The sequence below is a fragment of the Homo sapiens genome, chromosome 2 (assembly GCF_000001405.40).
Source record: "Homo sapiens chromosome 2, GRCh38.p14 Primary Assembly".
Classification (NCBI taxonomy): Eukaryota; Metazoa; Chordata; class Mammalia; order Primates; family Hominidae; genus Homo; species Homo sapiens.
In genome coordinates, this window is record NC_000002.12 from 111,708,966 (window position 1) to 111,721,519 (window position 12,554).

General features: G+C 47.9%; 2 annotated features.

The window, feature by feature from the left end:
* Nucleotides 5,017-5,237: a silencer, noted in NCBI's record as "fragment chr2:112471559-112471779 (GRCh37/hg19 assembly coordinates)". NCBI's record gives its function as "represses an EF-1alpha promoter that drives an FKBP-Casp9 reporter gene in an ReSE screen in K562 erythroleukemia cells {active_cell/tissue: K562}" and the evidence as "EXISTENCE:reporter gene assay evidence [ECO:0000049][PMID:32094911]".
* Nucleotides 11,247-12,141: an enhancer, noted in NCBI's record as "H3K27ac-H3K4me1 hESC enhancer chr2:112477789-112478683 (GRCh37/hg19 assembly coordinates)". NCBI's record gives its function as "activates a minimal SCP1, AML or CMV promoter by ChIP-STARR-seq in naive H9 embryonic stem cells {active_cell/tissue: H9 hESC(naive)}" and the evidence as "EXISTENCE:reporter gene assay evidence [ECO:0000049][PMID:30033119]".

The window sequence follows — 12,554 nt, forward strand, 5'->3', positions numbered from 1 at the left end:
AAAACTGGCAACAGTGCATCTGTCCCACAATATGGGAACAGTTAAATAATTATGGCACTGCTATAAGATGGAATCTATTGTAGCAACTTCAAGATGGTGTTTTTCAAGACTATTTAATGATGCAGAAACATAGTTATATGATGCAAAGTGGAAAGCTATAGTACAAAATTTATACACAACGAATTCCAAAACAACAATAAAATTACACATATATGTGTATATACAGAGAACTGGGAAGAAATACAACAAAATGTCAAAAGTGGGTATCTCTGGATGGTGAGATTATGTTTCATTTTTATCTTCTCTTTGCCCCTCTATTATTTTCTATATGTTGACTTTATAATTTTAAAAAGCTACTGAAAAGAAATTTCTACCAAAAATTATAAGAAAAAAATGTTCCATAATAAATGGTTCAAAGTTTGCGTTTTTAGAAAATGTTCTATGTGGAATTTTAGTTAAACATGGCTGTAAAAATCAACAGCTCTTGTCCTGGTCTGGCTTTGCTCTTGCAGAGCTGAGCCTGGTGCCCAGTGCCAGCCTCTGGTTCCTGTTCCCAAGAGCAAAATGGGGCAGGGACCAAGGGCGAACAACAAAGGATTGCAGTAATTCTGGAAACTCAAAACAAAATGTCTCAGCACACCTGACTTAGGACAGCGTCTTTTGAGATTATTTTTTTAAACACTGTAATAAATGGGTTGCAGGAAAGGGTTATATAATTACTCTGTTTACACTGAGAGATTTAAAACAAAGAAAAAGTGTCAGGTATAAGCCACAGGATACATAAAGTTACTGACAGTTCATCCTCCCGGTGTGGAGCTTGAAGAAAGCAACAGCTTCCATCTCACAGGACATCTCTGACCACCTGGAACACTGGTTGAGGCTTCTGAAGCCCCATGGCTGCAGCAGAGGGGGCCAGAGACTGGACAGCATGTCCCTGATGGAGCAGCAAAGAGTGTGCTCTCTAGTAAGAAGCCCAGCAGCACTGCCAACATGTCCCTTACATGGGTGCTTTTGACTCTATTTTGACTCTACATAATCATCTGCATGCCCCTAGAGCCCCCCCACCTGGCTTCTTCCACTTGCCCTTCACGTGTTTAGATAAGGAAATTGCTTCTCCAATGCAGGCCAAGGAATTTGGCCTTAGACTTACGCATGCCCCAAATATCCTGACAAAGCAGTGCAAGAAAGCCCCTGTTGCTGATACAGAAGCCCCCAGGAAGGGTGTTCTGCACCCTCACTCCTGAGCTTCTGGAAGTAAGGGACATTTCTTTCTGTGGTCAGCCTGGGAGTCAACCCAAATCCACGGGAAGGGGCAGCATTCCAGCCGGCCTGGAAGCGTCCATCTATGGAGTGAGCTAGGCCATCACAGCTCAGGGAATCCTGAGGGAGACTGCTTAGAACTCCTGCCACTGCCAGGATAACGTGAAGGACTCCCTCAGCCTCTTCTGCTCTGCGGGCTGCAGGGTCTATAAAATATGTCTCTGCCCACTGCCTTTCCAGACATGGGGCTTGAAGGCAACTAAACCAGATCATGAGTGAAGCCTTCGAAGAGTGAAAAAGCTATGTAAATACAAGGGATTTTCATATTTTGAAAAGCTTTTTTCAAGCCACAGAAACGAATAAGTCTCCAGATATAGTCATTGGTGACTCTTACAGGTGGATGTAAGAAAGACTCTTACAGGTGGATGGAAGAGGTGGATGCTTCCTGCTCCAAACTGAGGAAGGGAGGGAATAACAGGAGCCATTCTGCTCCCTCCCAATGCTGGCCACTTTGCTCAGCCAAGGCCGGCTCCTCTAAAAGCAGAACCAGGGTGCCAGGCACAGAGGAAGGGAGGGGGCTGGGAGTCAGCTGGGCTAATGACAGCGGCCCAGGGGAGAGGGGAGGGGAGGGCCAGGACCCTGGTGGCTGCTGGGACATGGCAGGTTCCACGACAGGGAAGGATGCAGACACACTGCCCTGTGTTTCTCACCCACAGGGAACTTGCAACAATTTCAGTTGCAAGTTTACAGCGAGGTTTGGTTTTGAACTGAAGCTCTTCTGGATGCCATGTTTTGGAAGCTGGTGGTAGGGCCGAGCTCTGCGACTCTGCTGCCTGAGGCTTTCCCTCCTAAAGCAGGCCTCAGCAGAGGCTGCTAAGGCCAAGGTCAACAACATGCGCTTTGCAGGCAAAATTTTTACATCACAAGGTTCGAGCACAGGAAGAACCCCTAGACCAATATTTCCCAAAATGTGTCCCCCCATCACCACAGAAAGGAGGTTTTGTGGTCAAAAAACAAGGGGAAAGTGCTTGCTGAACACCAAACAGTTTTCTTCCTGCAGGTATTTGCAGAGTCTTTAATATGCTAATGAACTTGTAATTGAGAGGACGTGGAAGACCAGCTTTTTCCAGACATAGTTGCCCATGGAACCTTCTTGGTGAGACACCCACTAGCATCTGGAACACAATTTACTGCTCTTGGTTTTAAAGAAAAAAGGAAAGTTAAGAGGTTAAGGGATTTGCCTGAGGTCACGTGACCTGTGTACCCAAGGTCAGAAGCAGTTCCAGACCAACGCCTACTCCCCTGCAGACTCACCTGTGCACAGGTGTCCTGCCGCCTCCAGGTAACCTCCCAATGAAACTGCCTTTGCAAAAATTACAACAGTGAGGAAATTATGACAGTGAAAGAGATCTGATTTAATCACCCCCATCTTGCTTTTAACCTCCAGAGTATCCTTGGTCATTCCTGGACCTGGGGCAAGCTAACTTTGGGAGAAATTTAGTTTATAGTTTCAATGATGATAGCCCTTCCCCAAAACTAACCACCTTTGTAAAACTGATGAGAGACCACAAAGTTAGGGGGATGAGAGGGGCTGAATTCTGCTAAGATGTAGGCATAAATGATTACCAAGTCCCACAGATAACATCACTCTTGTAGAGCCTAAGATCGGCCTTTTGGGATGTCCTTTCAGGATTTTGCATTTCTGATGACCGAGTGGCCCCACCCAGACCCATGACTCTTGGCTCAACTGCTCCTGAAGCTCCCACCCAGAAGTGAACTCACAGCATGAGAACCATTTTCCACACCTCTATGATTGCATCCCCAACTAATCAGCAGCACCCATTCCCCTAGCCCCTGCCCACCAAACTATCCTTAGCCCTAGCCTCCAAATTTTCAGGGAGACTGACTTGAGTAATAAAACTCCGGTCTCCTGTTCAGCTGGCTCTGTGTGTATTCAACTCTTTCTCTATTGCAATTCTTCTGTTCCTGATAAATTGGCTGTATCTGGGCAGGGGGCAAGGAGAACACACTGGGCAGTTACACCAACACCCCAACTACGCTCTCTTCAGTTAGACTGCCTTTCCATATCACCCCAAACTGAACATGATTGAAGGTCAATTTTGTAATGGAAACTGAGCCATTTGCCCCAGTGTTAAATGTACATATTGATCATGGATTGCTTGGAACTACTCGTGCCACAACTCACTTCAGCATTGATTTATGTGATGGTGAAATCTGTTGGGGAACTGGAAGAACAAGAGAATCTAACCAAAACAGTGGACTTAGGAAATCCCTGCAGAATCCCTGCTCGCTCCCATCTCGCAAAACCCTACATCAATCACACCGCCAGCTCGCAGCAAGACTCAGGTAGCCCCACAACTGGGGATGTGAGTGAAGGCCCTCCTGCTGCAGCCCAGGGCCGAGGGCAAGCCTCGGATGAGAGGGGTTTATTTAGCACCCTCAGAAGACAGCTGGTTAGTGTAAATGTGTTTTAGAAACTGGCCTGGGCATAATTAAAGTCTATGTGGCCTCTCCTCTCCTGATCTCTCATTTCTAGTATCCAGACCAGAAAATAAAGGGAGTCATGATCTTTTCTTGTTGGATAGAAATAAACTTCCAAGCTCCTTGTTGCTTCTGCAATGGTCCTCAAGCTGGAGATCACCAGCCACTGAGGTGAAGAACACAGGAGAAGGGGACACAGGGCCCATAGGATTTCTGGACTGAAATCAAGGACACAGCAACAGAAGAGAAGAGACAGAGCCAAGAAACACTGTCTCACCACCCAAGCTGCTCAGGTGTGACATGCACCATCAGAGTCCTTCACCCCTGCCATGGAGGCTGTGCAGGGGAAACCAGGATGTCCAGAGCATGCAGAGCCCTGCAGGTCCCCTTCAGCCATGAGCAGCCTCGTCCCACCAGCACCTCCCAGTATGAGTGGTGCAAATGTTATTCTCTGCATGGGCGGGGAGGTGAGGAAGGCCAGGGCACCCTTGCAGGAGGATGCTCTCCTGCCCCTCCCATGCTGGCTTAAGCACCCTTTCTCAATGCTGCCATGGATAGAGATCCCAAGCTGACTGCCCTCCAGCGGCCCTTATGGTGTCATTCACTGCATGCATGGCATGACTCGTGAGAGCTGCTGTAGCCTTCACTTCCCATATTCCCAGGACTTTGCACATTAATAGATGGTCAATAGAACTCTCACCAAACACTTGCCACAAGGCAGGCGCTGTTTATAACACAATCAAGTATTAGTATAAACATGTGAGGTAGGTGCTATTCTAATCCCCATTTTAAAGATATGGAAACTGAGGCATGGAGAATTTGTGTTACTTGCCCAGGGTCAGCCAGATATACGCAGGCCTCAAACCCTGGCAGTTTGGCTACTGGGCTGTGTTCTTGACCATGTGTCATTCTATCTCTTAAGAAATGTGTGTTGACCGCATGTTCTCACTCATAGGTGGGAATTGAACAATGAGAACACTTGGACACAGGGTGGGGAACATCACACACTGGGGCCTGTCGTGGGGTGGGGGAGTGGGGAGGGATAGCATTAGGAGATATACCTAATGTAAATGACGAGTTAACGGGTGCAGCGCACCAACATGGCACATGTATACATATGTAACAAACTGCAAGTTGTGCACATGTACCCTAGAACTTAAAGTATAATAATAATAATAAAAGAAATGTGTGTTGAATAATCAGTCAAGGCCATCAATCAAGGCTTGCTAGAGTACCTATTTCTTACATAATACTACGCTAAAAATGGGTCCCCTGGGTTGGGAAGGGAAACAGATGACAAAGCAAGAGCAAGAAATGACAAAGCAGGCTGGGCACGGTGGCTCACGCCTGTAATCCCAGCACTTTGTAAGGCCAAGGCAGGCAAATCACGAGGTCAGGAGTTCAAGACCGGCCTGGCCAACATGGTGAAACCCTGTCTCTACTAAAAATACAAAAAATTAGCTGGGCGTGGTGGCATGCACCTGTAATCCCAGCTACTCGGGAGGCTGAGGCAGGAGAATTGCTTGAACCCAGGAGGCGGAGGTTGCAGTGAGCCGAGACCGCGCCACTGCACTCCAGCCAGGGTGACAGTGCGAGACTCTGTCTCAAAAAAAAAAAAAAGAGAGAAAGAAAGAAATGACAAAGCAGTGTAGTCCTGGTCAGTCCCACAGCAGCAACGCCTATTACCATCCCACTCTTGTAACAACCTCCGTAAGCAGCACCTGATACAGGTGTAGAGAGAGCTAGCCAGAGGGACGCTGCAGCTGGCATGGGCAGCGGATGTCTCTAGGGGGCTGGATTGTAACTGACACTGACTTTCTTCCTTGCGCTTTTGTTTTGTTTGCATTATTTTAATTTACAGTGATTATGATTTGATTTTACAGAAACCTTTTGTAAAGGTCAGGGTTTAGTCCCTCTCCTCAGGGGTTCACCGGCAAGTTGGGGTGATGTGCCAGAAGCTAATGAAAAGGACCAGCGCCACACAGGAAGAAAGAAAGCCCTGTGGCCTGGTGGCTTGGGAAGGACGCAACAGGACAGGTAAGACCGGCTGGGAGCCAGGTGAGAGCAGGGCTTGCATGGGCAGAGGCTGGAGGTAGGACCACAACAGCTAAGCTCAAGAGGTTCTCTCGTGTTTCTAAAAGGTGAGTGCAATGGAACGCTAGTTTGGGTGTGGTATTATTGTTTTTCTTGAACTAAAAATATTCAAGAACAAAATGGTGCAAAATAGCATGTCCCTCACCATTTCTTCTCTCAACTGCTAGAAAACTGCACATCCAGAATGTTTCCTTGGAAGGTTCTGGTGTGGTGAAGTGGGTGAGGCCAGTGGAGAGAAGCAAGGCACACACACGACTTCCTCAAAACCAAAACACGGCAGAGGAGATTCTGGGAACGAAAACCACAAGTGAGTCAGGGCAGGGAGAAAACATGTGGACAAAGTCTTCATCCCACCCCTCACACTTGAAAAGAACTTTCCAGGAAAAGGAAAAGCTCACACCCTCACACCCCAGGTGAGTGGGCAGCCATCCAGGTCACATGAGTCCTAAATGATTCCTAACACGGCCCTCTGGCAGTGACCACTCACCCCATCCTGACCTCGGGCTGAAAAGGGCAAACTTCTCCCCAGAAGGAGCACGAGACTCGGGCCTGTTTCAATCAGGACTCTGAGATATCTGCTCCCCTGCACACTATGTGCAGAAGTGAAGGCCCAGCCAGCAATGTGCAGTTAGAGAAGTCATTGCTGAATGAATGAATGAGTGAATGAATGAATGAATGAATGCACCACTGTGGTTCATCTGCATCACTGTGAGTCACAAAGACATCTATTGATCCACTGGACTCACATCCCTAATGGCAAAAAATACACCTCAAAGTGTTTTTGGGTTTTTTTGGTTTTTTTGAGACAGGGTCTTTTGCTCTGTCACCCAGGCTGGAGTGCAGTGGTGCGATCTCGGATCTCGGCTCACTCAACCTCTACCTCCCAAGTTCAAGCGATTCTCCTGCCTCAGCCTCCCAAGTAGCTAGGACTACAGGTGTGCACCACCATGCCTGGCTAATTTTATATTCAAAGTTTTAAAGAAAAACTATGTGCACAGTGATGTGGAAGAAGGAGAGACACTGAGAGATTATTTTACTCAGAGAAGTGGTTCAGAACCACAATCCCTCTCTCTGGTGCCAAACACGATTGAAAGTCATGACTCCAAAGTACTTCTCATGTGCCTGGCATAATAATGCAAACAAAACTCTATAAGAAAGATCTCATTTCATTCTCAGTGACTTCATAACATGGTTTCAACTGTTATCCCCACTGATGGCCAAGGAACCTCTGTGCCAGAGAGGTTAAGAAACCTGTCCATGGTCACCCAGCAGGTCAATGGCAGGGCTGGAATTTGAGCCCAGGCAGGCCAACTCCATTCAGGATTACCCCACTCTCCTGAAATGTCTCAGCCGACAGCCACATCCTAATGTGCAGTGAATGCAGGAATGGGCCCGGTGCCCAGGCTCAACACTGAGCAAAATCCAAATTGGACTGGCATCTCACCAAAGGGCTTCTTCACTCCAAAATGTCAGCGACGTGGCTGAGGATGGAGGTGAACCGCGCAACGGGCATTCCGGGCCCCTCTTGCCAAAATGTCAACAGAGACCCTCATAGACTTTGTTAAGTGCAAACCCAACAGTAGCTATAACTCCTGCTGAGTTAGGCAAGAGAGAGAGAAAATGGAGAAAGAGAGGGGAAGCGGTGGTGAGGACAGGGCAGACATTATCTCTAGTCTGCTCCTGGCTGCGATTTGCCCAGTGTAAGCTGACTGGTTGCCCCTTCAGGTGTGGGAGGTTTCGCAACAGTGACTAGTGTATTTAGGAAATGCCTGGACATGCGGAGCCCCCAGCTATGCTCTTGACTCCCCCAAGACTGAGCAGTCTCCTAGAGTTCTACCATAGCAGCCACCTGCAGCCCCTGACACCTTCAAGCCCCAGGACCAACTTGCCTTCCCCCTGAACATTAGTCCTGCATTCTCTGGCTGCTGGCAGCTCAGGGTTGCATGTTTTCAGATGAAGGAGGGCAGAGAATAGAACTCATTGCTAAAGGAGCAAGCACCTCCCTAAGGCAAAAGCTCCCAACCCAGACCCTTTGGCCTTAAGGTGTCATGCAAGGTGTGCAGTATTTGCATTGGCATCGGTAGCAAATCCAGTGCTTTCACTGCATTCTCAGAGTGGCCACTCCTGCTTTGGTGGATGAGTTGGGGAGGAGGAGAGATGCCTTAGGGAACAACCCTCCTCTGACTCCTCAGTGAGATCCAGGACGTCCGCCCCAGTTACAGTGAAAACTGAGCATCAAATTGTCAGCAGCTGTGAGCTGAGTGTCTCCAGCAGGAGTTAAGGCAGAGTGGCCTTCCCAGATGCCAGAGACCAGGCTGGGAAGAGGTTCTGCCCAGGGGAACTCGGGCATCTGGGGCCTGCTACACACTCTCTCTTTCTTCTTGCACTATTGTTTTCTTTTTATAAATGTACCAAGTATTCAAATAATAGATAAGTCCTTACTCATGGGAACATGTCTACATGGGGACAACAGTCTGCAAGATATGTGAGGGCGCGTGCACACTCAGCTGTGCTGTTGTTATTCCAATTTTCCTAGGAGAGGCTCAGCTGACCCTGTGGTCTAACACTGGGCAGGCAGGTAAAGGGAGGCCAAGAAAGGTGGGAGCCCAGGTGGTACAGCGTGAGGAGGCCGGGGAAGGTCCGATGACAATGACCGGGCCATCCGATTGTTTTCAGAGCAGCCAAAGAGGAGGGTGTAGAGGCCACGCCCAAGTCTGAGCCCCTGAACTGACCAGGCCTAGCCGTGTTGCCGAATCTCTGCCTCCAACACCCACTTGTCATCGTCTTAGGAATTAATTACCCAATTGCCCCGAGCAGAATGCAGGAACTTGCAGAAGGCCGCAGGCGATTAGCAGAGGCCTGCAGAGCAAGGGAAGCGGCGTTTGATGCCGAACAACAGAGAAATCCTCGGAGGATGGATTCTGATATTCTAACACTGACTACAGCTCTGACTGCGTCTGAAGCTACTAGTCCTCTGACAGAAGAACTTGGTTATGATGAGTTCATCAACAGAGAATGGTTAAGTAGTGAAACTACTTCAAGAGAATCTCTGCCGTCAGGACAGTCTTGTACAAATCTAGTAACTTGATTTTTTTTAATCCAAGTATATGAGAATAAGGCAACGCACAGTTGAAAACAAACAAAAAAAAGAGCTTATCATGATAAAGAAAAGAAATAAGAAAAAATCAAAGCATCATGAGACTCCTCTGGTGTTCTTTGTTCTTCGAGTTTGCATTGTTCCAGATGCTTTCTCCTGAATTGTGGGAAATCTCCCAAAATTGCTTCACCAAAATGTAAAGGCTGGGTTTGTAAAATTGAAGCTTGATTAAGAATTGACAATAATGAAGCCCACGATGACTGAAGGAATTAGCAAAGAGATGGCTGGAATAAGGAGTTACAGCCCAAGCAAGACAGGGAGGCTATGGAGAAAACTTGACATTTGAAGACTATGTGCCCTTTTCATGTCAGATGCAACAGAAGTTTTTGTTTTTGTTTTTGTTGTTTTTTGGGTTTTGTTTGTTTGTTTGTTTGAGATGGAGTCTCGCACTGTCTCCTGGGCTGGAGTGCAGTGGCATGATCTCAGTTCACTGGAAGCTCTGCCTCCCGGGTTCAAGCGATTCTTCTGCCTCAGCCTCCCAAGTAGCTGGGATTACAGGTGTGTGTCACCACACCCGGCTAACTTTTTGTATTTTTAGTAGAGACAGGGTTTCACCGTGTTAGCCAGGATGGTCTCGATTTCCTGACCTCGTGATCCGCCCACCTTGGCCTCCCAAAGTGCTGGGATTACAGGCGTGAGCCACCGCGCCCCGCCGCAACACAATTTTTTAGTGAAGAATTAGGTTTTCATTTTCAGAGGCATTTCAAATAGCAAGGAGAGTGCACATTGCTTGTATTATATGATACATCACGTTTTCAAGGGTATCTGCTGGCTGGGCATAGTGGCACATGCCTGTAATCCCAGCACTTTGGGAGACTGAGGCAGGAGGATCGCTTGAGGCCAGGAGTTTGAGACCAGCCTGGACAAATAGTGAGACCCTGTCTCTACAAACAATAAAATATTAGCCAGATATGGTGACCACTGCACTGTAGTCCCAGCTACTTGGGAGGCTGAGGTGGGAGGATTGCTTGAGCCTGGGAGGTGAAGGCTGCAGTGAGTTATGTTGGTGCCACTGCAGTCCAGCTTGGGCAGCAGAGCAAGCCCCTGTCTCAAAAAATAAAAAAAGAATATCTGAAATGTTGTGGGGGGGAAAGCCTATAGAGTAAAAAATTAAAGTTCTTTACTCTCCATCTGTGCCAATGGTTTAGTGTGCAATCTTACAGAACTTTATATATTTGCATACATACAGATAAAAATCTGCTACATATATCATTCCATCACTTACATTCTTTATTTAACAATTTGTCGTAAAGATTGTTTTTTAGCCATGTCTGGCTAATTTTTTTCATTTTTTGTAAAGACAGGGAGGGGCTCACTATGTTGCTCAGGCTGGTCTCAAATTCCTGAGCTCAAGTGATCCTCCCTCCTCAGCCTCCCAAAGCTCTGGGATTACAGGCCCAGGCCACCTTGCCCAGCCTGTCATAAAGATCTTTTAATAAAAGATCTTTAATTGCTTCTTTTAATTGCTGGCTGCCTCCACTGAATCACTTACCGAAGCCCTGAGAGGGAATCACAGTTCGCAGGTGATTGGGATGCCGGGGGACGCACCTGAGGGCTGGGCTGAGTTTCACTTAAAAAAAGGTCCAGGCCAGATGAGGGGACATCAGATCACTCAGTGGCCTCCTTCTCACCAGATTCTGTCTGACTCTCTTCGGGGCTGAGCTAAAGGCAGATGCTGCATTCAAATTCCATATCCTTCCAGCTGGAGCTCCCCATTCCTAGAGAAACCTCAGCTTTGTGTCTCCCACGGAGACACTAGAATGGGCAAGCCTGAGTGCGTGGCTTTGAGGGACAGAGTCCCCACCCACAGAGCTCTCACAGCTGGCAGCCACCCCGACACCCACAGCTCTTTCAGAATGGAAAGCCCGGGGCCTTGCAGCTCGCCCTGCTCCGAACACTGTGCGAGGCTTTGTAATGAGCTACCCTGGAAGTGTTTTTCAAGAAGACGGTGATCTCATTACACAAATCCACCATCAGTTGAGGGAAGAGAGGCAGGGCTGGCTTTCTAAGGCCACTGTATATGACCTAAGGAGCCCACATTGCCAAAAAAATAGTCACCCACTGATTTCAAACACCCACTTCTTTGCATGAAGGGCTGCGTTCCCCTCATCACCACCCCCACCCTTTTCATCCCTGGTACAGCTACCTCCAGCCATTCCCCCTAGGGGTCTTCCCTGGGACTCATCTGCCACTTGTTCCTCCTCAGCTGGGGTCACCAACCAAGTTGGGAACAAGTTATTCCTCCTTAATAACAAGAGGCAAAGCCCTATCCAAAAACAGGGGTCTGCCTTATTCACTAAATCCAGTTTTCAAAAAAAGACCCTCATCGGACTCATTTATAAATGATTTAATTTTAGGGATTGCTAGCTAGATGAGTAGATAGGAAGGATAAGAAGCTAAGTATGGGAGAAGAATGTGCAAGAATAAGGTGAAAGAATGTTCTCCATTCACAATGCTGTTTACATGCATCCAGCTGGCTGGCAACGCCGCTGAGCACTCAGCCTTCAGTGGACCTTCCAAACCATGGCAGGCACTCGGAGTCCACAGGGACGCAAAGGACCATGCTCTACCTCTCAGTAGGCTGTGTAGGCCAACCACTCTGGAATCCACAGGCACCAGTCACCAGCCCCACCCTCACCTTCGAGCCAGGCTCCTGTGGTCACCGTCTCATGGTGATGGCAAAAAGCTCCTCTTTTGCTCCCTGTGACCCCCTGCCCCCTCTTTGGTGTGGCTGGGGGCAGGAGGGAGGCCCTCACTGTGCTCTGGCCTCAAGGTAGAGTAGCCACAAGACAATCACCCTGTCAAACTTCAGCGGAGTTCCCGTGTGCTCTTCTGGTAAAAGGGCTTCTTTGTAGCATTGAGCTGTATATGCAACGTATCCTCTTGTGTGTGAGTGTGCATGTGTATGAGTGTGTGTGTGCCTGCGTGTGTGTGTATGTGTGTTAGAGATACACACATATAGGCCCCAGGAAGGAGTGAGGAAGGGGAAAGAAACCAGCATTTATTGCACTATGTATAAATTTTCAAAATTCATCCGTGACTAACACAAGAAGCTGTGTCCCACCTGAACAGGTAAACTTGCGTAGTTATTTCAGAACAGCAGCCCCATCTCCATCCCAATCAGGGTAATATTTTCCACTGAACTGAGTCAATAAGGTAAACAAACCCATTTGCCCAAGAGGCAAACAACAAGGTAGGTTAGAAACATAGCTTTCTGGATACTGCTCCTAGTGAAAGCATCTGGCAAAAAAAAAAAAGAAGAAGGAAAAAAAAAGCATTTCAAATGAAACCCAGGGGACAAATACCTTTAAAAGTTGCAAAGGAGAAAGGCGTCTACACAAAGCAGCATGTTCCAGGATTCCCCATTATTTCAGGACAGACCCATTCAAGGATCAGAGTGGGTCTGTGAACTCAGAGTGACCGTGCCTCACCCCGCCTGGCCCAGCTCTCTCTGAGTGCAGTCACAGGCCTTCCCCACCAGAAAAATCCATCAGCTCCTCTTCAGGCTTCACTCGGGGCACTGACTTCAGCTATCGTCCAG